This window comes from Homo sapiens, chromosome 12, assembly GCF_000001405.40.
Source record: "Homo sapiens chromosome 12, GRCh38.p14 Primary Assembly".
NCBI classification, from domain to species: domain Eukaryota; kingdom Metazoa; phylum Chordata; class Mammalia; order Primates; family Hominidae; genus Homo; species Homo sapiens.
Window position 1 is genome coordinate 69,154,952 of NC_000012.12, and position 26,665 is coordinate 69,181,616.

Sequence of the window (26,665 nt, forward strand, 5' to 3'; positions counted from 1 at the left end):
GCAAGGAGGCTCAAGTATCTAGTCTCTTTTGTTTTTACATTTCCTTTGTAAATTAATAAACTGTCATTCTTACTTAAATTTCAATCTCTGTGGAACTTCAATAGTGTAAGTCAACATCCCTAACTACAATCAACTGAATAAAATCACATACTGTCACCTGCAAGGTCAGACCCTGGACCATGGGAAGCCCATCAGGTTATCACTTTGTGAGTCTCTTGGCACATTTTTGGTTTTTCCTATTTGTACAACTCTCGTTTTTAGTCACTATGCACTTTTCCACTTGAAGTGGAAAATTCCACTTCATTGCAAACTCCAGTGCCTAGAAGGGCAAGCCAGTAGCCTAAATGAAGAAAGCAAGCCCTGGGCAAGAATACTGAGGAATATAGCAGGGAGTGGTGGGGACTGTGACAAAATGGAAAGCACATACCTTGTCTAAAGTGGGCTGACACTCAAGCATAGCCGCTTGTTGCCATATGCAAATAAGAGTTCTTTATTGCCAAATCTCTTTGTAAGAAAAAAAAAGGACTTTTATGTAAAATGTTATATTTTTGCAATATTAGCACCCCCCTCAAAAAAATACAATGAAGGCCAAACAAAACATATCTGTCAACCACCAGCTTGAGGCTTCAGTTGTGTAGTATTTATAGATTAGTACATATATAGCACGATTTTTTCTTAAAATATTTTAATCAAAATAATACATGAGCATGGATTTTGCAAAATAGCTTACAACAAAAGGCAATAATCCTTTGTTCCATTCCTTCCAGGACCCACCCCAAAAGTCTCACCACTACCTCTTGATTCATCAGTTGTAGACATTTGAAACACTATTTAATTACTATCATGATACATGAAGATTTAACTCATTTAAAGTTCATCATATTTTTTAGTTTCAACCATAGATGTCTTCAGCCTGAAAGCTGAGTCAGGCTGGGCATGGTGGCTCACGCCTATAATCCCAGCACTTTGGGAGGCCAAGGCAGGAGGATCGCTTGAGCCCCAAAGTTCAAGACCAGCCTGGGCAACACAGTGAGACCTAGTTTCACCTGAAAATCAAAAAAAATTAGCTGGCTGTGGTGCCTTGTGCCTGTAGTCCCAGCTACTCCAGAGGCTGAGGCGGGAGGATGGCTTGGGCTTGGGCTTGGGCTTGGGAGATCAAGGCTGCAGTGGGCAGTGGTGACGCCTCTGCACTCCAGCTTGTGTGACATAGCAAGGCCCTGTCTCAAAAAACGAAAACAAAAAACTGCTGAATCAATCAGCGTTTAGTCAAAATCACAACAGTTATTTGATCAGAGAAAATCTAATATAAAGACTTGTTAACTGTGTAAAATTTAACTGTGTATAAAATGTTTAACAGAAACTGTAAAAAAGACTCTAAAACAGGGTTTCTCAACCTTGACACTATTGGTGTCTTGAGCTGAATAACTGTTGTGGGTGCTGTCCTGTGCAATGTAGGATGTTTAGCAGTATCCCTGGCCTCCACCCAGTAGGTGCCAGTAGTATACCCCTCACCTCCACCAAATTGTGACAACCAAAAATCTCTCCTGGCCAGGCGCGGTTGTTCCCGCCTGTAATCCCAGCTTTTTGGGAGGCCGAGGTGGGAGGATCACCTGAGATCAGGAGTTCAAGACCAGCATGGTTAACGTGATGAAACCCTGTCTCTACTAAAAATACAAAAATTCACTGGGCATGGTGGCGAGCGCCTGTAATCTGAGCCACTCGGGAGGCTGAAGCCCAGGGAATCGCTTGAACCTGGGAGGCAGAGACTGCAGTGAGCCTAGATCACATCACTGCACTCCAGCCTGGGCGACAGAGCGAAACTACATCTCAAAAAAAAAAAAAAAAAAAAAAAAAAACAACTCCAGCTTTTGCCAAACGTCCCCTGGGAAGCAAACTTGCCACTGGTCAGGAATCACTGCCCTAAGGTAGGTATCACAAAAGAAACAAGGGTAGGAAGCAGCTACCACCCCTAGGGCTAGGGGAAGGAAGAGAAGGGACTGAAATTATTAAAACTTAGAAAAGTAGAAGAGGTGACATTTAACCCCTCAGACCCCTTCTGGGGTCTCAGCCTGCTTGGCTGGTGCTGGGGTCTCTAAGGCGGGCACCAGAAAGCTGGTTCTGCAGATGTTGGAAAAACTGGATTCCATGGCTACCAGAAAAAGGACCTGCAGGTTGCAGGCAGAAACAGCTTTGTGGTCTGATGCTCTCTGAAACAGAAGCCTACGGGGAGGAGGAAGTCCCTTCCCTCCTCCAGCCTTGCAGCCTCCCTCGAGTGCCCCCTGGAGGCAGAGCCTAGCAGCGAGCCAGCAGGCTGAGCAGAAACGCGGCTTCCGGAGTCCGAGCCTCAGCATCACAAAGCCGAGGTAGAAAATTGTCTGAAGCCAAAAGACTGGAACTGGTAGAAGGGCCAGGCTCTCTACTAAGGTCTCTCATTTATTACCCCATGTGATTCTCAAACTCTGACGTGCTTATCAGTCACCGGGAATGTGAGACAAAATTGGAAAAGTAAGCAAGAATAATGGAAGGTCATGGCAAGAAGTTTGAACTTCTTCCCAGGAACTAGAGAGCCATTGAAGGGCTTCAGCAGTTAAACTTCATTTATTTATTTATTTATTCTTTTTTTCTTTGTTTGTTTTGTTTTGTTTTGTTTTGAGACGGAGTCTCACTCAGTCGCCCAGGCTGGAGTGCAGTGGCTCCATCTCAGCTCACTGCAACCTCTGCCTCCTAGGTTCAAGCGATTCTCCTGCCTCAGTCTCCCGAGTAGCTGGGATTATAGGCGCCTGCCACCATGCCTGGCTAATTTTTTGTATTTTTAGTAGAGATGGGGGTTTCACCATGTTGGCCAGCTGGTCTTGAACTCCTGACCTCAAGTGATCGCCTGCCCTGGCCTCCCAAAGTGCTGGGATTACAGGCGTGAGCCACTGGGGCCAGCTAAGTTTTGTATTTTTAGTAGTGACGGGGTTTCGCCTTGTTGGTCAGGCTGATCTGGAACTCCTGACCTCAGGTGATCTGCCCGCCTTGGCCTCCCAAAGTGCTGAAATTACAGGCGTAAACCACTGCACCTCGCCCGCAGTTACACATATTTATAGACAACATATTGGATATTTTTTCCTGATGTCTGGTCTTATCCACTGTGAATTAACTCCTACTGGTTTTGCTGTCAGTGTAACCTTATTTCTAATCTTGGGGACATTTCTCTTGAGCCCTCTATGACTCTCATTCCCACAGAGTTAGTGGCTCCTTCCACTCGGCTCTTACAGCTTGCTGTATAGACCTTTCTGTCTTTGTTTCTGTTGTTTAAATGTCTACTTCTCTCACCAGACTGTTAATGCCTCAACAGGAATTGTGTTTTATTGATTTTTGTTTGCCCACATTGTAATCTAATAAGTGTTTCTTAAAAGCTTAATGGAAGGATGAACGAGCAGGAAGGCAAGAAGAAATAAAAATATAAATGTACTTGGAAACCTACACCTCCCAGTCACAGAATGATTTTTCAGATGATAAGGAAATATTTTTGAAATACAGAATTACCATTTAAAGAATAAATAAGTTAACCCTCTTTTAAATTTTATGTGGGTATCTCTGAATTGGTGAAAAATCTAAACACAAGAGAAGATTTTGTTAAGTGACAAAAATACAAACATTATAAGATGCTGCCAATGTTACACTTAATTTAGCTCCTTGAAAGGTGTGTCTATCCAAGTAACATACTCCACGACTCATACAGTAATAATTCTGGGTTGTAGATTAAGACTCTTTTGTTAGCTCCCTCAACTCAATCTTCCTTCCCTCCCTTATTTCTGACATTTCCCGCCGCCCCCACCCCGCCGCCCTCCCCCCCCGCCCCCCACCCCACCCGCCCTGAGTCTCTGTCTTGGCTTCCCCACTTTGGTGGAGGAGTCAATGTCTCCAGCCTTCCACTTTCCCTCACTATTGCTTTCATTTCTCCCTTACAATTCAGCATTTTTTTTTTTCCTGTAGCGATGGGGTCTTGCCATGTTGCCCAGACTGGTCTTGAACTCTTGGGCTCAAGCAATCCTGCCTCAGCCTCCCAAAGTTCTGGGATTACAAATGTGAGCCACCTCACCTGGGCCAGCTCAGCAATTCTTTTGTTGTTATTGTTGTTTTTTGTTTTGGGTTTTTTTGTTTGTTTTGAGATGGAGTTTCGCTCTTGTTGCCCAGGCTAGAGTGCAATGGTGTGACCTTGGCTCACTGCAACCTCCGCCTCCTGGGTTCAAGCAATTCTCCTGCCTCAGCCTCCTGAGTAGCTGGGATTACAGGCACCTGTCACCACGCCTGGCTAATTTTTGTATTTTGGTAGAGACAGGGTTTCACCATGTTGGTCAGGCTGGTCTCGAACTCCTAACCTCAGATGATCCACCCACCTCAGTCTCCCAAAGTGTTAGGATTACAGGCGTGAGCCATCACACCTGGCCCAGCTCAGCAATTCTTAACATTCTCCTGGCATCCCAGTCCCCTGGTTTCCACCAGATTGCCCCAGGCTCTGGCTGGCACTGGAACAATTAAATCCGCCACTAGGTTCGGGTATTGCCTTGAGAAAAGCATAGCTGTGGCATCAAGCAGATTGAGTCAAATCTTGCCTCTGCCACTTTCTTAGCTCTGTAACCTTTGGAAAGTTATCCAGCTTTGCCCTTTTTCTGTATCCTCTACTCTAAAGTAGTTAATAATGTCAGCATCGTGAGGTTGCTATGAAAATTAAAATATAAGTTACATGCAAAATATCAAGCATAGGCTGGGCGCAGTGGCTCACACCTGTAATCCCACCACTTTTGGAGGCCGAGGCAGGTGGATCACAAGGTCAGAAGTTTGAGACCAGCCTGGCCAACATGGTAAAATCCCATCTCTACTAAAAATACAAAAATTAGCCAGGAGTGGTGGTGAGTGCCTGTAATCCCAGCTACTCAGGAGGCTGAGGCAGGAGAATTGCCTGAACCCGGGAGACAAAGGTTGCAGTGAGCTGAGATCACGCCACTATACTCCAGCCTGGGTGACAGAGCAAGACTTCATATCAAAAAAAAAAAAAAAAGTCCAGACGTGGTGGCTCACACCTGTAATTCCAGCACTTTGCGTGGCCAAGGCAGGCTGATCACCTGAGGTCAGGAGTTTGAGACCAGCCTGACCAACATGGAGAAACCCTGTCTCTACTAAAAATACAAAACAAAAAACAAAAAACAAAATTAGCCGGGCGTGGTGGCACATGCCTGTAATTCCAGCTACTTGGGAGGCTGAGGCAGGAGAATCGTTTGAATCTGGGAGGCGGAGATTGCAGTGAGCCAAGTTGGCACCATTGCACTCCAGCCTGGGCAACAAAAGCAAAACTCTGTCTCAAAAAAAAAAAAAAATCAAGCATAATACCTTAGATGGGTTCCTGGATACTGACTAAGAGAGGGAGATGTGTGTGCAGGGGGATTTATTAGGGTTTGCCCTCAGAATCAACAGAATAGGGGAATGAAGAAATAGGAGTGGGCAGAGAGGAAAGTTGAACCGTGATGCAGTCACTCTGATGAGTCAAGAGAACCAATGACCCCACGTGGCTTAAATCAATGGGCAAGTTACCTTGTAACAGCCTTTGGCCCCCTTTGATCATTCCTCCTGGAATGCTTCCTTCATTCAGTTGGTTTCTAGGACCTCACACTCTCTTGGTTTTGCTTTTATCTCTCTGGTTCCTCCTTGATCTTTTTGGCTGGTCCCATCTTTTCTTCTCAACATCTTAATGTTACAGTGCCCCAGAGCTCAGCCTGGCCTCTTCTCAGTCCCTTGGTCATCTTGCCTAGCCTTGTAGCTTGAAATATACCATCTATTTGTCCTACAACTGCCAACTTTATATCTCCAGCCCAGACCTCTGCCCTAAACTCAGGGCTTGTATATCCAACGTCTTCTCTTTCTCTACTTGTATGTCTAATAAATAATTCAAACTTCAGTCTGCGCTTCCATCCCACACCACCTCTACCACCAAACCCACTCTATCTACAGTCTTCCCCATCTTAAATGATGGCAATCTCATCATTTCAGTTGCTTAGGCCCAAAATGTTGTGGTCACCTTTGACTCCCCTCTTCCTGTGGCGCTCCACACATAATCCATCAGGAAATACTACTGTAACCACTTTCAGAATATACCCAGAATCAGACCAATTTCATCACTAACCTTCTGGTCACTGTAGTTTCTCCCCTGAGTTATTGCTATTGCCTCTTAGCTGATTGTGTCAATCCTCTGCTCAGAATCTCTTAGTGACTGCCTACTTCTCTCAAATAAAGGCCAAAATACTTTCAGTAGCCTACAAGGCCCTCTGTGACCTTGCCCTTGGTTATCAGAGCGATCTTACCTTTTACTATCTTCTCCTTCATGCACCCCACTCCAGTTCTCTTATTGCTCCTGGAATATGACAAGCATGCCTGTGCCTCAGGGCCTTTGCACAGGCGTTCCCGCTATCGAAATGTTCTTCCCCAAATGTCTGTGTGGCTCAGCCCGTCATGCTTTTTGAGTCTGTTCACATATTATCCTCTCCATACAGCCTTCTCTGACAACCTAACTTAAAATTGCCATGCCACACCCCTCCTATCCCCAGCATTTTCAATCCCCCTTCCCTGCTTTACCTTGTCCTCACAGTCCTGATCACATTCAAACACACTAGATATCATAAATTATTTATTTACTGTATATTGTTTGTGTCCCGTATTTTGTTCACTGAACCCCAGCACCTAAACAAGGTCTAGTGCATAGTAGGGTTTAATCAGTAGTACTGAATGAATAAAAACAAGTTATATGCTTATGCTTAATGATTAAATTTCAATGCAATTATTTTTTCAGAGCCCATAATTTTAGTACTTTTATGGCATAGTGTAAACCTATGCACTGTGATTAGCTACTGTGCTTTTCATTAATGCATATCACTTCACTGAAAAATCACACAACCCTCTTCTGCAGATTTCAAAGTATCTGTCTTTTCTGAAAATGGTACAAGGGAAACTCCCATATCTGTACCTAAATATTGCCTGGAGTATAAATCATCATAACCAGCTTCACGTGACTCAAACACTGAAACAATGTGGCTGCACACAGGGTTGTGGGATCAGGTTACCATGGTAACCTCGACTCTCATCTTCTCTGAGCTTAATTGTTCAATTCTGAAATTGCATGCTCTTGAGGTTTAGCATGCTTCAACTCTGCCAGGCCTCAGCTGGCAGGAAATTAAGTTATGGTATTAGTGTTCATCATAATCATTTGTTAATGATCATTTATATTTAGGAATATGAGAAAATATAGAAAAAGTAGGGTATTTAGGAGGGCTTTTCAATCTACCAAACATGGCTTTAAGTATTGGTGCTGGTTTTGCATATTGTAAGAACACACTGTTTATATTCCTGGTCCCCAAAATGCACTTGCCACATACTTTCGGTCATATTTGTGTTTCAGGATGTAAGCTCACTGAACTGGCTTCCTTGGTCCTTTAGAAGACTAAACAAATAGGCTGGGCACCTATAAACAAATAGGCTCAAGCCTGTAATCCCAGCACTTTGGGAGGCTGAGGTGGGCAGATCACTAGAGATCAAAAATTCGAGACCAGCCTGGCCAACATGGTGAAACCCCGTCTCTACTAAGAAAATACAAAAATTAGTCAGGCTTGGTGACATGCACCTGTAGTCCCCGCTACTCAGGAGGCTGAAGCAGGAGAATTGCTTGAACCCAGCAGGTGGAGGTTGCAGTGAGCAGAGGTCGCACCACTGCACTCCAGGCTGGGTGACACAGCGAGACTCCACCTCAAAAAAAAAACAAAAAAGAAGACTAACCAAATAAAAAAGTTGTAGGAAAATGTACAATTGATGTAGTTTAAGTTGTGGGAAGTGAAAGGCCTAGTTATTAAAAAGAAAGTGAGCCAACAATAAATTCTCTAAATTTGTTTTACTTGAGAAAAGAAATATAATCTTAATTAAAAAAAATAAATCTGTAGTAGCTCAATTAATACAAATAAATGGAGACTTTCTTTACATAACCCTTTCCATTTTCAGAAACAATACTATAATCTTTATAACTAGGTTAATTTTTTTCACTAATAGAATACATTATCTCATTTTCTGGTTATATTTCTATACTCAAATCAAGGCTACAAGCTCCACACTTTGTCCTAGCCTTGATCTGAAACCTTAACAGATCCTGGGGGCCTGGATCAAGCCAACAACGGTGGGCAATAGAGGGGAGGGGAGCAGATTGGAAAACTGGTTATCTGGTGGAATCCATCTATAACTGAATACAAGGACGTCTTAGTCTGTTCCTACTGCTATCACAAAAAAATTTAGACTGGGTAATTTATAAACAACAAACATTTATTCCTGACAGTTCTGGAGAATGAGAAGTTAAAGATCAAGGCGGTGGCAGATTCAGTGTCTGGTAAGGGCCTGTCCTTTTTTTTTTTTTTTTGAGACAGAGTCTTGCTCTGTTACCCAGGCTGGAGTGCAGTGGCACGATCTCAGCTCACTGCAACCTCCTCCTCACAGGTTCAAGCAATTCTCCTGCCTCAGCCTCCTGAGTAGCTGGGATTACAGGTGTGTACCACCACACCTATCTAATTTTTGTATTTTTAATAGAGACAGGGTTTTCACCATGTTGGCCAGGGTGCTCTCAAACTCCTGACCTCAAATGATCCACCTGCCTTGGCCTCCCAAAGTGCTGGGATTACAGGCGTGAGCCACCGCGCCCAACTGGGCCTGTTCCTTATAGATGGCACTGTCTATGTATTGTCACATGGCAGAAGAGAAGGGCAAAAGGGGCCAACAAGCTCCCTCAGGTCGCTTTACAAAGACAGTAATCCTATTCACAAGGGCTTCACCCTTATGATATAGTCACCTCCCAAAGGTCCCACCTCTTAATAGCAACACAGCAGGGATGATTAGGTTGGTGCAAAAGTAATTGCGGTTCTGCCATTACTTTCAATGGCAAAAACCATGATTATTTTTGCACCAACCTAATAAATTTCAACGTACACATTTTGGAGGAACACAGACATTCAGACCACAACAGAGGGGTGAAGAGAAAAGTTTTTTGATCTTCAAATTTCCAGCATAAGTGAGCGGGTGGAATAGTGGCTTGACACTGTCAACCATTGCATTAGGATGTCTATTCTGAGAAGGCTTGTGCAAGAAGATGGAGATTCTATTTGTGGTTTGTGACCCAGTAGGGTGGAAAAGGTTAGTAGACAGATATGTGAAGCATTAAGATAAGAGGCTTGGACTAGAGCTATAGATGTGGGAGTGAACTAAGCCAGAAACAGCAGCCTTTCTGGTTTCAAGGATTGGTGAGAATGAGGACTGGGACTCAGGATAGGCTACTGTTTATCCTGCAAAAGATGTACACCAACAGAAAGTATGTGGAGGTGTGAATTGACATGGCTCCTTAGCCCCAAGTTCTGTGGTCGCAACAGTCCACAGGTGTGAGGAATCTGTAGGTCCTCACCTACAGAATGGTAGGCTCAGTCCACTCTCTTTTTTTATTTTGTTTTGTTTTTGAGATATGGTCTTGCTCTGTTGCCCAGGCTGAAATGCAGGTAGAAATCACAGCTCACTGTAGCCTCCCTGGCTCTCCTGAGTAGCCAAGACTATAAGCATGCACTACCATGCCTGACTAGTTTATTTTTTGAAGAGTTGGAGTCTTGCTATGTTGCCCAGGCTGGTCTCAAACTCCTGGCCTGAAGCAATCCTCCTCCCTCAGCCTCCCAAAGTGTTGGGATTACAGATATGAGCCACTGTGCCCAGCTCAGTCCACTATATTTTCTTCTGTTTTAGGCAGGGTTTGGGTTGCAGGTGGTAAAGAGAGGGGGAACGTTCAAATATCCAGCTTGTCTCTATATAAAGAAACTCTTGCCACACTGTAGTAACAGACTCCCAAATTTCATTTCTTGCTACACCGTTGGCTTATCTGACCTTTCAGTCTTCCCCCAAGGATTTATCAGGATACAATAGTGTGATCTGAAATGGCCCCTTATCAACTAAGTAGACCCTAAGATTAGGGAAACAAAAGTTACCTATAGGTTGAGGGATCAGGGCCAGGCTGGCATGGCAAATTTCTCAATTCCTACAGCTCCAAGAACAACCAAACTCTTGTTAAACTCTCTAATAATGGGAGCTATCAGGCCAATTATTAGACCCCTTCTAACTCTGATTTACAACCCAGACCACTGCAACTCTGATGGACAGAGGATTGGCCTTACAGAGATTCTTTCCTGATAAGCAACTGCGACCCTTAAGGCAGCTTCAGCCATCTTATAGAGGCTGCACCGTCTATTTTGTGTCCTATAGTTGAACTTTTGACAAAAGAGCCAAATTCCATCACATTTTAATGCTAAAATTCCACCCAAAAGTAATCATGGGATGTATGTTTTATATATATATATGTTTACCCATTGCTCATGCATTGCTCACAAATACGCATAGCTTTTCTCCCAAACCTGCTGGATATGTACGACTTCAGGCCCTGTAAGGTGTAAAACCCAACCTGCCCTTCCCCTCCTCAAAAAGAGAGCCCCCTTAGGTCCACACTGGAGACTTTCTCGTCCCAGTTGGCAAACTGATATGGCCAATACAGCTCTCCTTTCTACTATGTAGCCATCTGGGTTGTCTTTTGGGTGACAATAGTAATTGAGACTTTGGGCTTGAAGAAAATCTCTGTGGAAAGGTAGGTAAAGTGAGAAAGGAAACAGCCAGAGATGGGATCCTCTGGAACCCTAACATCTAGGAGCAGAAAGAGGGACTGCAGAGGGAACTTAGGTTTACAGAGAAATAGAAAGAAAAATGGGGGTGAGAGGAGGAAGTGGTGTTCCAGAAGTCAAGGGGTAAGAGTTTCAAGGAGGTAGAATGTTCAACTGTGTTCAATGCTGCAGAAAGCAATTAAATAGGGGGCAAGAAAGTCTATGAGTTTGGCAACTAGGAGGACACCATGACCTTGGCTAGACCAGTTTTATTCTTCCAAGCCTGAGAGCAATGCTTTACTGAGAAGAGCAGAGGTCAGGATGGGAGCTTGCTTGTGTTGAGTTGGCAAAAGAGGGGGTCACAGGATTCAAGAATTTTTCTCAGCCCAAAATATATAATTTGTTACATATATTATGTAATATATAATTTATATTGAAACTGTTGGTAGGTGTTAAATCACCAAGTAATTTATTGTCTACCCAGATGCACGGGGGTGAGAAGGGGAAGAGGATACACTGCAATTCTCAGTGCTTGCAGCAGGATAGTGAGTTTACAGGTATGTCCCCGCTTTTCTTCTTCTTTCTTACCCCCTCCTACTTCTTCAAATATTTAATCATATGCTTTTTTTAAAAAGAAAAAAAATTTAAACATAACAAAAATATATCTTGCAAGGTATTCATTGACAGTTACCCTATCGAATAAATTCATGAGAGCCCATTGTTTTGGACTAAGTTCCTGCACTAGGGCCCAGCAGACCAGACCAAACCAGCATGAAGTCAGTTGTGCTAAATGTGTCATAATCAAACTGAATTTTGAAATGGGCCAGTTTTCAAAAAGAAAAAATAATAAAATAAAATAAAACAGAGATTCACAGCAACCAATCAGAAGGGGCCCAGGTTACCAAAGGGCATGATAAGAAAGTTCCCTCTGTTTTGACTCTATAAGGAAGATAATCTTGAAATGACCAATCTGCTTCTTGTCCTTTGTTTCTGTTTTCTTCAGCTCTTGTCTGCCTAGAAAGCCAATGCCCTCTGCTAAGCTCAGCAGAACACTTACTCTATTTTATACAATGAGATGTTGCCCAATTCTAGAAGAGCAAATAAATGCTGATTAGATCTTTAAAGTAATTTTGTCTTTTGACACTTCAAATGAGTAAGGAATGACAAGAAAGTATTGTTTCCAATGTTATTTCAAATTTTCAGTTAGATATATTCCATTATAGTTGATCTGCATTTGAACATCAGAAGAAAGTATAGGCCGGGTGCAGTGGCTCACGCCTGTAATCCCAGCACTTTGGGAGGCTGAGGTGGGAGGATTGCTTGAGGCCAGGAGTTTGAGACCAGCTTGGCCAACATGGCGAAACCCTGTCTCTACCAAAAACACAAAAATTAGCCGGGCGTTGTGGCGCATGTCTGTAATCCCTACTACTTGGGAGGCTGAGGCAGGAGAATCTCTTGAACCTGGGAGGCATAGGTTACAGTGAGCTGAGATCATGCCACTGCACTCCAGCCTGGGAGACAGAGCAAGATTCTGTCTCAAAAAACGAAAAACAAAAAAAAAAAAAAAAAAGGAAAAAGAAGAAGGAGGAGGAGGAGGAGAAGAAAGTATAGGACACTGAAATCACCAACATGCGGATTTAAACCAGTAAACTCTTAATCCTAGCTGCATTTTAGACTCACCTAAAGAGCTTTGGAGAAAATATTGATAACCAGACCAATTCCATCAGAGTATCTGGGGCTGTAGCCCAAGCATGGGTATTTTTAATGTTCTCCAGGAGATTCTATGTGCACTCAGGGTTGAAAATAGCTGGATTAAGCTAGGTACATAACAGCATTGCGTCTGAAATTCATTGCATTGCATTTTCGTCTCCACTCCCCTATAGGGGTCAAGGCCCTATGTCCTCTCAAGGTTTGCTGAGAAATCGCTGACATGAGGTAGAATTGATTAGTAGGAGAAAAGGCATACAAATTTACTTCACGTGTATATAAGGTAGCCTTCAGAATGAGGACCCAACCCCCCCAGTGAGGTACAGAAGCTAATGTACCATCTTGAGGTTATAGAAAGAATGAAGGCTCAGAGCTCGGCCCAAAACAGGTTACGTTGGTAAATCAGGTTTTAGTGGCAGGATAGGTTACGAGAGGGAGAGGGGAAGAGGCTTGGCTAGCAAAGGGGTCCTCCTTATGTAGATGAAACCTCACAGGTAGCAGCCTGCAGAGAGAACAGATGATGTATGTTTCTTTTCAGACTTTTAAAGGTGTCAGTCTCTCAGCTGATCTCTCCTAGTTCTGGAAAAGGCCTAGAAAGGGAAGGCCTGGCTGCATCAATGGAGATTCTCTACAGATGCAAATTTTCCTCACAAAAGACAGCTTTGCAAGACACTTGGCTGGCCCTGTAGCAGCCACTTCAAAATATGTCAAAGAAATGTATTTTGGGGTAAAATTTTTTTATTTCCTTCACTCCCTTGCCAGGCCAGATCAAGCCACCCTGACACACTTTCAAAGCATCCTTTACTGTCCTGGCAGTCTCTAATTAATTCTGCATGTATTTGTGTGACTTTTCCATTAATATCTGCCTTCTCAACTGGTCAGATGGCATTATACCCAGCTCTAAGCACAGTGCCTGACACATAGCAAGTGCTCAATAAACATCTGTCAAATAAATAAACTGGTATCAAAATATTTACAGATGAGATGATGGCTATTGAGAGGCTTTTTTCCTCTTCAGATCAACTGAGGCAGGAGAATAGGGTCTGGAGGCAAGGAACATAAGGCCGATTCACGCTGACTTCCTAGAACTAAATCAAATGGAAATGCTTCGGCAATGACAGGAAGGTGAATGGCTTTGTAACTTCACTTCATCCTCTCCATTTACATAGGCTACACACACTGAGTAACATCTTCTCCATTTACATAGGGCGCATACTGAGTAAATGACTTTGTAACTGGACTTCATCCTCTTCATTTACATAGGGCATACACCAAGTAGCCAATGGGAGACCTCTAGAGGGTATTGAAACCCCAGAAAATTCTGTAACTGGGGCCCCTGAGCCACTTGCTTGGGCCCACTCCCATCCTGTGGCACGTGCTTTCATTTTCAATAAATCTCTGCTTTTGTTGCTTCATTCTTTCCTTGCTTTATTTGTGTGTTTTGTCCAATTCTTTGATCAGAACTCCAAGAATCTGGACACTGTCAACCAGTAACACAACCAGTTCTCTGATTCTCCAACACCAGCTTGAGTATGCCACAATTCAATTTGATTGTGGTGCCAGCTGTCTGGAGCTAGCTCAGACTTCGCAGGTTTAAGAGCTCAGTCACACAGACTGCACTCACTTCAGAGGCCAGTCACAAGGATCCAGTCTCCAGGTTATCCATACTCCTGTCTGAGTTGGCTACAAAGCTGGGGGTTCCTACAACCGCCTCCTTCAGGTTCCATAATTTGCTGGAATTGTAACCATAAGAAGTCTGTGCCTGATGCATACAGCAGGTCAATATGCTGAGACACCAGGTTGCAGCAGAGAAAGAGGTCTAATCATAGTGTAACCAAAACACAAGTTTAGTCTTTCGCTGCTTGTGAGGCAGGAGAATAGGGCCTGGAGCAAGGGAACTTAAGGGCTTTGTAGAACTAAATCATATAGAAACACTTCAGCTATGACAAGAAATATCCTCTTCATTTACAGACGGTATACACCAGGTAACCAATGGAAACCTCTAGAGGGTATTTAAACCCCAGAAAATTCTGTAACTGGGCTCTTGAGCCACTTGCTTAGGCGGCTCCCACCCTGTGGAGTGTGCTTTCATTTTCAATAAATCACTGCTTTTGTTGCTTCATTCTTTCCTTGCTTTGTTTGTGCATTTGTTCAATTCTTTTTTTTTTTTTTTTTTTTGAGACAGAGTCTCGCTCTGTCGCCCAGGCTGGAGTGCAGTGGCGCGATCCCAGCTCACTGCAACCTCTGCATCCTGGGTTCAAGCGATTTTCCTGCCTCAGCCTCCTGAGTAGCTGGGATTACAGGTGCCTGCCACCATGTCCGGCTAATTTTTGTATTTTTAGTAGAGACAGGGTTTCACCATGTTGGCCAGGCTGGGGTCTTGAACTCCTGATGTCAGGTGATCCACCCACCTTGGCCTCCCAAAGTGCTGGGATTACAGGCGTGAGCCACCGCGCCTGGCCTTGTTCAATTCTTTATTCAAAACGCCAAGAACCTGGACACCAGTAACACTTGCAGAGTCCAATTAATAAGATCAAGATTTGGTATAAAGTGAGTTTTTATTCCAGAGCTAGCTTAGGGAAAGAAGTACAGGCTTCCTGCTCTAAGGGCTCTGCTTTGCTTTTGGAGGAGAAAGTAGGCACTTTTAAAGGGGAGTGCCGGGAGTAGTGGCTCACGCCTGTAATCCCAATATTTTGGGAGGCCAAGGCAGGCAGATAGATCACTTGAGCCCAGGAGTTTGAGATCAGCCTGGACAACATGGCAAAACCCCTTCTCTACAAGAAGTTTAAAAATTAGCTGGGCATGGTGGCACGTGCCTGTAGTCTCGGCTACTCAGGAGGCTGAGGCAGGAGGATCATTTGAGCCTGGGAAGTTAAGGCTGCAGTGAGCTGTGATTGCGCCTGCACTCCAGTCTGGGTGACAGAATGAGACGTTCTGTCTCAAAGAATAATAATAATAAAATAAAAGGGAACTTGGCATGAATGGCACACAGGAAAGGGAAACGCAGGTTGGGGGGTCCACGTGACTGGCTTTAGTGCTTTATCCACAGGTGCCATTATGGGGAGAACAAGGTTGTATTTTTCGTTGTAAATTGATGGTTGTCTCTCAAGGCAATCTCCTGGTGAGAGACCGTTCTGCTCTGCAGCTTCTAAGCACACAGTTAGATAAGCTTGCCCTGCAGGGAGTGTCTGGTGAAGGGAAGGTAAAAGGTTATAATTGCATTTCTAAACAGCTAAGTAGGAAGTAGGGAATAGAAGAAAAAGGAGAAAACAGAAAATAAGAAATAAAAAAGAAAAACATAATAAAAACTCATTATCTTTCTCTTAGAAAAATGGGGGTACTCGGTTAAAATAGGGCCTCCAAACAAGGAGACGGGTGGAAACCTTGAGAGCTTGGGACTGTGGCTTTTAAGAGCTTTGGAGTGGGCTGAAGTATACAGATCATCGATTGGTTGAAGAGTTCAGGGCAAAGTCATGGGACAGAAACATGAAGAAGCAGTGTTCTCATGCTGGTTCTGTTCCTCTATGGGGGTCTTCAAACTGGTTGGCATCTGCTGTTTTGCGGGAATCCAGGATCTGAAAAACATCTTAAGCAATGCTTTTTTTTTTTTTTTTTTTTACTTTTTTTTTTTTTTTTTTTTTGAGATGGAGTCTCGCTCTGTGGCCCAGACTGGAGTACAATGGTGTGATCTTGGCTCACTGCAACCTCTGCCTCCTGGGTTCATTCAAGTGATTCTCCTGCCTCAGCCTCCCAAATACCTGGGATTATAGGCGCCCGTCACCATGCCCGACTAATTTTTGTATTTTTAGTAGAGACGGGGTTTCACCGTGTTGGCCAGGCTGGTCTCGAACTCCTGACCTCAGGTGATCCACCCGTCTCAGCTTCCCAAAGTGCTGGGATTACAGGCGTGAGCCACTGTGCCTGGCCTTAAGCAATTCCTAAACAAAAGCCTTGTGATTCTTATGTCAGAGAGCTTATCTACCTTAAACAAAATCCTTATGATTCTAACGTCAGAAATCCTGTCTATAGGAACAATGGGGATGCAGACGGTCAGTATATACTGCTATGTGATTTGGGGATTACCAGGAAGTAGATCAAAGTGCAACCTGATTAATACTTTATTATAACTGTGTTTCTGTCCAGAATTTTTGTTAGCTCATGACTTCAGAATGACTCCAAACTTAGGAAAGCACTCTACTGACTTTCACTTGTTTATAATAAAGGGTACAACTCAGGAACAGCCAAATGCAAGAAAGGCAAGTGCAAGATATGGGGCGGGTGGGGTATGTGAAGCTTCCATGCCCTCTCCCCAGAAGCACTCTCCCTGGAGGCTAGGGGTTATTATGGAGGTTTCATTTCTGTGGGCATGATTGATGAAATCATTGGTCATTGGTGATTAACTCAATCTCCAGCCCTTCTCTCTCCAGAGGTTTTTGGAGTGCAGGGTCCTGAAGCCACTTAAGATGAGCCCTCAGCTACCAGCCATTTTGTTCAGCATACAAAAACACTGATCACTCCAGATATTCCATTTTAGGAGCTTCATACATATTATACCTTTCAGGGAACAGTTTTGTTCCATCTTCCCTCCCACGGCAGGCCAGACTGGCCCGGGAGGAGAAATGGAGCCTTGGGCAGGACCGAGGCTGGAGAAAGCCAGGGCCAATGGGATACACACCCAGGAGAGGGCTCGCTGGGAAGCCAGGAAGAGTCTAAAAGCTGCAAATCCTAGAAATAAGAGTGAGAACAATAGGAGTGTGAGGTTTGCAAAGGAGGCGCAGGAAGCAAGTTCAGAGGGAGGTGTGAAGAGCTCCCACCCCCAGGGCTGAGAGCCTTTCACGAATGCCCAAGGCCAAGTTCTGAACAGGGGGATGTTAAGGGCACCTGTACTGTTCAGATGAGTTCCAAAAGGGCCCTTCCAATGCTGAGATTCTATGACACTTATTTACATAGTAACAGGTTTAAAAAAAAAAGAAAAGAAAGACTATGAAAAAGTACAAGGTTTCATTTTCATAAATAAAACAACCGTAATCACTGAATTGATGTTATGTTGGAAAGTTCTCTGCTTCTAGAATATGCACAACTAAGGGGAAAGATGGCTTGAGATAAATGATAAATATGATGCCTTATTTAAAGAACATCTTAAGTTTGTAACAGCTTCCAAAAATATAGTATGAAGAAATGTGTGTTATATAATCCTCATTTCTTAAATGACTCAGATACATGATTGATTTAGTATTTAACAGTGGTTCAACATTTCAAAGGTTGATTCTAAACACATTCACGTATTGCTGCAGATATTTCCTATCTAGATTCAAAGTCAGAACTCACTGAAGAATGCCAAGGACACATGAAGAACATCCCACAGCCTGTAAATTAAGGGACAGCTTGTCTTTACTTTCACACAGCCATTTACTTCTTTCATTTAAGACATTTGTCTGAGTTGGGTCATTTGGTACAAAACCTTGTAGATAATAGAAGAAATTAGCAAAAATATTAGAAATAAAGCTTTTAGAATTGTTTGAAAAGGGACAACAAATATAGAAAGTCATTTTTAAGTAAACAACTAGAAATAAGAATTCTAGGTAAATTTTTAAAAGGTAATAAACATCATTTTCTGAGACCTTCATTGTGCATAGTATATTTTTAATGTTGTGGAACTGAAGCCAAGATAGAATTTTACAATTTCTAACTGGCTCAAGAGAAATTGCTTCCATAAGGAAAGGTTTTCTCATTAGGTGTGAATTCTGTTTTTCAAAACGATTTAAAATTAAAGATGTGTATTAACAAAGCCAAACAGAAAAGATAGCAGGAGCAATTCTTTTAATCATTGGAAACACAGCAGTGCAAAGAGTGGACAGGCAATGTTAAGTTTACAATCCCTTAAAGTACCTTTAGTAGTATTCATTGCACACAGGAACGCACTCCTCCTAATATGACAGGCTTTCTCTCTCACCAAAACCTTTCATACTGGAGCAAATAACAAAATGGAGTGTGTCTTCCTTCTGCTAGAGTCCCCAGTCTGGTGTGAATATGGCTGACATTGTTTTCTGCTGGGAATGCAGGATGTCGTTCGACACGCAGTTGCACATCCCATCTCTGGCACTTCTGTCTGAGCCTGTTTCTTTGCTGCTGTCCAGGCCTTTCCCAAGATAGGAGCAACCATATCCCAGCTTGCTGCCTGCCCTGTCACTTTGCTGTTAGTGTCTCTGCCGTGCGACCAAGCTCCCATGTGGCTTCCCGAGCAGCTCCATTAGTATTCTCACTGTGACTGAGCCCACCGTAACGGGCAAAAGAAAATCACCAACTGCAAAGCCTGGAATACAGCTGTTCTGCACACATCTCTAGGTAACAGTCATCACAATTCAGTCCCCAAGCTGGACGTGATGGATGATAAATGAGTAACACAGATGCTGCTGTTACTTAGAGGCAGACCTGCAGAAGCAGGACAGAAGTCTTGGGCAAATACACAGCAGTAATTACTTATCTGCTACTTGATTGCTCTTACACAAAAGAAAAGCAGCTCTTCCTTGTGAAAGGAGACACCCAAACTTAGAGCTAGTTTGAGTCTTGGGTCTTCCCCTATCCCCCAGTTGGGTGATTCCTGGCAAGTTATAGTATCTTCATCTGTACTGAAGTCCAGGCTTGCTGGGAGAGTTCAGGGAGCCACTCCTGGAACTGAGGCAGGAGTTGCTTACACCTTTCTGGCCGCCTCTTGATGGGCAATGTCAAACAGCTTTAAATTCTTCCTCCCTGGTTCCAATAACTGGCAGATCGCCTAGTCCATAAGCCACAGGGTCCTGAACTCCACAGTTCTTTCCTAGCACCAGTTCTCATTACTGGACTTGGTGTCTATAGTATTCGTGAGTTAATTCGGGATATATTTAGGGTTCCCATTACACTCCAGGTACTGAGCAACACAGATACAGTCTCTGCACTCGTGGAAGTTACAAGTCAAAATAGAGAAACAGGCAATCCAATAATGATTTTTTTTTTTTTTTTTTTTTGAGACGAAGTCTCTTTCTGTTGCCCAGGCTGGAGTGCAGTGGGGTGATCTCGGCTTACTTCAAGCTCCGCCTCCCGGGTTCACACCATTCTCCTGCCTCAGCCTCCCGAGTAGCTGGGATTACAGGCGCCCGCCACTACAGCCAGCTAATTTTTTTGTAGTTTTTAGTACAGACGAGGTTTCACCATGTTAGCCAGGATGGTCTCTATCTCCTGACCTCGTGATCTGCCCGCCTCGGCCTCCCAAAATGCCGGGATTACAGGCGTGAGCCACCGCGCCAGCCCCAATAATGATATTAATAAATGAGTGACAAGCTGGGAAAAGTGTTATGAAAAAGAAGCACAGGGTGCTATTGGAATGAATGCCTGGGAGACCAGGGTTTCAAGGAAGGCTTTTCCAAGGAAATGACCCTTAGGCACAGAGTTGAAGAATGAGAAGGCATTAACTAGATGAAGGGAGGCTGGGAGAAAGGTGGCCAAAAGTATAGCATGAAGAAGTCAGAGAAAGCGGAGTAGCTGGCTTGGCCTGGAGACCATGTTTGGGATTTGAGTTCTGTCCTAAGAGTGATGGAAAATCACTGAAGGATTACAAGCAGGGTGATAGCAAAAATATATTTTTTTATTTTTATTTTTGAGATGGAGTCTCGCTCTGTCGCCAGGCGGGAGTGCAGTGGCGTGATCTCGGCTCACTGCAACCTCTGCCTCCTGGTTTCAAGTGATTCTCCTGCCTCAGCCTCCTGAGTAGCTGGGACTACAGGCACATGCTACCACTTCCAGCTAATTTTTGCATTTTTAGTAGAGACAGGGTTTCACCACATTGGCCAGAATGGTCTCAATCTCTTGACCTTCTGATCCACCTGCTTTGGCCTCCCAGAGTGCTGGGATTATAAGCATGAGCCACTGGGCCCAGCCCATAGATTTGCATTTTTAAAAACCCACAGTGGGGCCGGGTGTGGTAGCTCCTGGCTGTAATCCCTACACTTTGGGAGGCCTAGGCGGGTGGATCACTTAAAGTTGGAGGTTGAGACCAGCCTGGCCAACACGGTGAAACCCCTTTCTACTAAAAATGCAAAAATTAGCCAGGCATGGTGGTGTAACCCTGAAATCCCAGCTACTCGGGAGGCTGAGGCAGGAGAATTGCTTGAACCCAGGAGGCAGAGGTTGCAGTGAGCCGAGATCACACCACTGCATTCCAGCTTGGGCAACAGAGTGAGACCCTGTCTCAAAAAAAAAAAAAAAAAAAAAAAAAAAGGAAAAAGAAAACCCACAGGATATTGTGGGAATAATATATTGGACAGGTGAAAGAGTAGAAGGAGGCTATTGCCATGATCCGGGTAAGAGCTGATAAAAGCCTGGATGGGGGTGGTGACAATACACAACACAGTGCTGAATGCTGGGGCTACAGGGCAAAACAGGATGGACTCAGGCCCTTAATGGAGTTTATGGGGAAGACATTAAACTGGTATTCACAGCTAGGATGAGTACAGTGAGGGGTACAGAGCTCTGCAAGTGCTCTGAGCAAAAGTTCTAGAATATCCTTCTGGTACTCTATTGCCTCCTGGTCCTGGAGCCTGGCCTTGGAACAGCCCTTCCAAGAGTAAGCCCATGAATCCCAAGTAGTGGCTCACTGATAATCATCTGGATGGTGACTTCCATCCAGGTTTCTGAGTATCACTCTTTTTGGATTTCACCTCCTTAAAAAAGTGGGAACCTGCTAATGAAACCCTGCTCCAAAGAGTTAAAAAAACCAATGACTAACAAAAATTCTTACATTTACAGGAAGACAGATTAAAAAAAAAAAACAACAAAACACCCCACTTACTAAAACACTAAAACTCCTTCAGCTTATGAGATAACAAAACAGAATAAAATAAACTAGAACTGATGTAACTGACTGGAGTTTGCACAGCACAAGCTTGCTGATTTCACAGCCTAGATTTCTACCAGCTATTTCATGCCAACTCCTCCCAAATTTACATATGGGACTCATAAAAAGACATAAAAAGATAACTGTGCATGCCTGAAGACTTCCCAGACCTCCCTTTCCTTCTACCAATCACCTACCAATCCTAGAATCCACCCCCTAAACCTTCCTTAATAAAATTACTGCCTTAAAGCCAGCTTAGGAAAACAAATTTGAACTAGTCTACTGTCCCCTTGGGAGTTGACTTACAATAAAAAGCTTTTCTTTTCTCAAAAACCTGGCATCAAGTATTGACTTCTAGCACATTGGCCAGTGAGCCCCTTTTGCTTGATGACACTAAAACTGCCCAACGGGTTCTTCCCACCTGCTGCACAAATAAAGACCACAGCCTTGCAGTAAAGAAAATTTAATTGACTCGAGGTTGGCCATGCTACACTGCAGATAGGGATAGAGTTATTACTCAAATCAATCTCATCTCAGGCTCATAGGTTAGGGGTTTTTCAAAGGCAGTTTGGAAGAAGGGATTGGGGTGGCCATGCAATGGGTGTTTGCTGCTAATTGGTTGGGGAGGAGATGAAATATAGGGGGTTGAAGTTATCTTCTTGAGCTGAGTTGCTTCCGGGTGGGGCCGCAGGAGCAAAGTTGGCATGTCCAGGTGGAGCCATGGGTGTCAGACATGGAAAGAACCTGAAAAATATCTCAAAGGGCCAATCTTACACACTACAATAGTGATGCTATTTGCAGGAATGGCTGGCAATCATTTATGTCTACACCTTAGCAGAATTCAGGCTCCTCTCCTCTTAGCCTGTTGGTGGCCTTTCATTAGCTTAACCACATTGATTTTTTTTTTTTTTTTTTGAAACAGAGTCTCACTCTGTTGCCCAGGCTGGAGTGCAGTGGCACTATCTTGGCTCACTGCAACCTCCACCTCCCGGGTTCAAGCAATTCTCCTGTCTCAGCCTCCTGAGTAGCTGGGACTACAGGCCCTTGCCACCACGCCTGAATAATTTTTGTATTTTTAGTAGAGACGGGGCTTCACCGTATTGGTCAGGCTGGTCTCAAACTCCTGACCTCAGGTGATCTGCCTGCCTCAGCCTCCCAAAGTGCTGTGATTACAGGCCTGAGCCACTGCGCCCAGCTGACCACATTGAGTTTTGGGGAAAGACTATTATTAAATAGGCCTGATTATTTAATAATAGGCCTTGATTATTTAATAATAAACCATAGGTTATTTAAACTATAACCTAACTCAGTGGTCCCCAGCCTTTTTGGCATCAGGGACTGGTTTTATGGAAGACAATTTTTCCATGGAGAGTGGAGGGGATAGTTTCGGGATAATTCAAGTGCATTATATTTATTGTGTGCTTTATTTCTTTTATTATTACATTGTAATACATAATGAAATAATTATACAACTCACCGTAATGTAGAATCAGTGGAATCCTTAGCTTGTTTTCCTACAAATAGATGGGCTCATTTGGGGTGATGGGAGTCAGTGACAGATCATGAGGCATTAGACTCTCTTAAGGAGTGTGCAGCCTAGATCCCAGGTATGTGAGGGATACTCAGAACACAAGGGGGTTCACACTTCTATGAGAATCTAATGCCACTGCTGATCTGACAAGAGGTGGAGCTCAGGCGGTAACGGCGAGTGGCGTAAATATAGATGAAGTTTTGCTCTCTCACCCATCTCTCACCTCCTGCTGTGCAGCCTGGTTCCTAACAGGCCAGAGACTGGTGTGTGGCCCAGGGGCTGGGGACCCCTGACCTAAATGTCTTCCAAAGTTAGCTCAGCCTAAGATCAGGAATAATTAAGGCAGCTTGAAAGCTAAAGGCAAGGGAGGGGTGGGTTAGATCAGATCTCTTTCTCTGTCACAATTTTCTCACTGACACAATTTTTACAAAGGTGGTTTCAACACTGACTTTCCTTTTTTTTTTTTTCTTTGAGACAGAGTTTTGCTCTTGTTGCCCAGGCTGGAGTGCAATAGTGCAATCTCGGCCCACTGCAACCTTCGCCTCCTGGGTTCAAGCAATTCTCTTGCCTCAGCCTCCCAAGTAGCTAAGATTACAGGCACACGCTGCCATGCCCAGCTAATTTTTGGTATTTTTGGTAGAGACGGGGTTTCACCATGTTGGCCAGGCTGGTCTCGAACTCCTGACCTCAGGTGATCCATCCATCTCGGCCTCCCAAAGTGCTAGTATTACAGGTGTGAGCCACCACGCCCAGCAACACTGAGTTGCAATCTCTGTATGTTGATTCTCTCCTTTCCAAGCACAGGCCCAAACTAGAATCCACTGAATGCCCAAGCTTGCTGATTAGAAAAACTTCCACTATCAGCAGGTGCAACCAGATCAGCCTCCCCAGCACCTGACCCACCCCAGTGCCAAATACTCAACCTCCCAATCCTCTCCTGGTTAGATCCTTTCTTAGTCCCACGGGTTTCCAAGATACAAGTGCAACTTTCCTGTAGCTATGATGGAGAGGCACTTTTATTAAAAGTCCTTAATTTCCAGCACTGAAAACTTCTGAAAAATAGTGGAATTACACATTCTCATCTTAATAGATTATCAGTTTTGCTGAATTATTTTTATCATGGCAAGACTACTATAATAGCTTTGTTAATGTAAATAAAGTCAGAGAGGAGCTAGTACTTTTGAAAAGCACTTGTACCAAATATTTATTGCTATTCTTTTCTGAAATCAGTAACTTTCCAAAAAGAGTGGAACCACCATGGCTTTCATTTTGGGTTTCGGAGTGTGTGAGAAGAAAAAGAGATCCTGGTAAAAGTCCTGAACTCATGAACATAAACGATAATAAAGAAACAAAAAGAGAATTTTAGAATGGTGGTTAATTATGACTTTTCACATGTAAAATTCTACGTGATAGAGTGCATAATGGAAACAGTTGTGCGTGTTTAGTATTGTATTGCTGAATGATAATTTGCATTGATGATGTCCTCACATTAACCAATTCAAGCAAACTTAATAATGAGAAGCTTGAAGAGGAAAATAAGACTCTGGCTCAGTGGAATAATGATTAATTCACAATTGCAATTAACACCTCAGAAGGTCTCAACCAAGAAGCTAGCTGGATGTGCAGCAGTGATGTAATCAGACTGTTTACGTCTGGCTTGAACTGAATCAATGATATTGGTGGCAGGGTACAGACTTTATCTCCATTTTTAAAGAAATAGAAGACTTAGGTTTTCTGAACTAAGGTTTATGCAATGATTTGTCTTTACAACATATTTTAAAAGAAATTTTTATATAGAAGTGTATAAGAATATATACTCCTTCAAACACACACACACACACACACACACACACGCACCATCTCTTTTCTGATTTCTTCTGGAAACTGACAAAAGAAACATGAAGATCATAAATTATAATGTTGACTTCTGACTCTCCCTCTTATCTTCTGCACAACTGAAGAAAAATTCACTTAAATAACTTCTAGTCTGAATTAAAATTTGGTTTTTGTGTTCAAAAGCCAAAAATGTGCAGATGTTACTGAAACCACTGGTGTGTGACCAAAAGATTTTTCCACATTAAGCACAAAGAAAGGACTGTCCTTTGGTTGGTGATTACAACAGCTATTTATAGAGCCTGCCTCTGTAGTTTTGCTCCTGGATATCAATAAGGAGACCAGCTCTCAGTCTGATTATCTTTCACACCCTCATTCACATTGCCTTTCACACATTGGATAATCATCTGTCCTCAGGACAGACCACAAAGTCTTTACCTGACTTATTCAGGCATTCATAGCAACCAAATCAGATCACTCCAAGGCAAGGTAATCAATTCCTTAGTAGCTGGCTGCCACAGTGGCAAACTCCACCAAAAGATCAAGTTTTGGTTGATTTGGGTGAATGGCACTGGCAGAAGCCTTCTTGTTCTGGGAGAATCAGTATGGGATGGTAGGATAGGAGTTACCAAACTGGATTAGAATTTTTACTGAACCTCCTACCAGCTGGATGGCCTTGGACTGTTTCTCAGCCTCTTTGAGCATGACTTTACTTATCTGCAAAATAGATAGACAGTAAAACCTACTTTGTAGATTGTTGCAATGATTTGGGATTATCTATATAAAGTTCCATCACAGAGCCTGGCACACAGAAGGCACTCGGAAAAAGGTAGCTATTTTCTGAAACTCTCTCCTCTTCCAATCCGTCTTCTCACTGCTGTCAAATGATACCTTTCTCAAATGCTACTTTTATTTTGTTCTCTTCTATTGGCAGTCCTACCTGTCCTAATACACCTGTCGGGTCCATTCATCATCATACAAATGATTCTGGCTCCTCCTTGCCTAGGCTCCTTCCTTGGCCTGGAAAGTCCTCCACTTTTGCCTCCATCCATCCAAAACTGTCCCATGTTTACATGTTTCTTAACTCAGCCCAAGTCCTTCTTCCTTCAGGGGAAGCCTTATTAATTGACCTCCCCCACCATTAGGTAATGATACCGGGAGTCCACACCTCACAGTTGGTTATACAGAATTTCTTATGTGCTAATATTCTCACCAACAGATGGTAAGCTCCCTGGTACAACGGTAGTATCACAAACTATCTGTACCACAGTACTCAGTTTAATGTTGGCTGTATAACAGACGCTCACATTGTTGTTTGCAGACTCATTCACACAGCACTATCACCTTCGCATTGATTTTACTTGATGAGTAAGTACCTGGAATATCCATGCTTTCACTGGAGCCAGAACACAGCTTTGAATGAAATTAGAAGTCAAGTCAATTTTAAAATCTTTCTTAAAATTCAATGTAGAATCACAGAAACACTATTTTTTTATTTTTTGAGACAGGGTCTTGCTCTGTTACCCAGGCTGGAGTGCAGTGGTGTGATCACGACTCACTGCAGCCTCAACCTCCTGGGGTCAAGCGATATTCCCACCTCAGCCTCCTGAGTAGCTGGGACCGCAGAGGTGTACCACCATGCCTGGCTAATTTTTAAATTTTATATAGTGACAGGATCTCCTTATGTTGCCCAGGCTGGTCTTTAACTTCTGGGTTCAAGGAATCCTCCTGCCTTGGCCTTCCAAAGTGCTGGGATTACAGGCATGAGCCACCACACTGGGCCAGAAACACCATTTTAAAGCTGTAAGTGTCCTGCAGAGTCATCTAAACTCGATCCACTTTATTTTATCATTGAAACAACAGAAAATCATGGAGATTGAATGATTTGCCTACCACAGTCAGTTCATGTGAGATCCAAAAGGGAAACTTGGAGCCCAGCACGGTGGCTCATGCCTGTAATGCTAAATATGTGGAGACTGAGGCAGGAGGATTACTGGATCCCAGTAGCTCAAGGCCAGCCTGGGC

General features: G+C 43.5%; 1 annotated feature.

Annotated features, from left to right (window-relative positions):
• Positions 24,924-25,124: a silencer, noted in NCBI's record as "peak1782 fragment used in MPRA reporter construct". NCBI's record gives its function as "represses an SCP1 promoter by STARR-seq MPRAs in K562 erythroleukemia cells {active_cell/tissue: K562}" and the evidence as "EXISTENCE:reporter gene assay evidence [ECO:0000049][PMID:32103011]".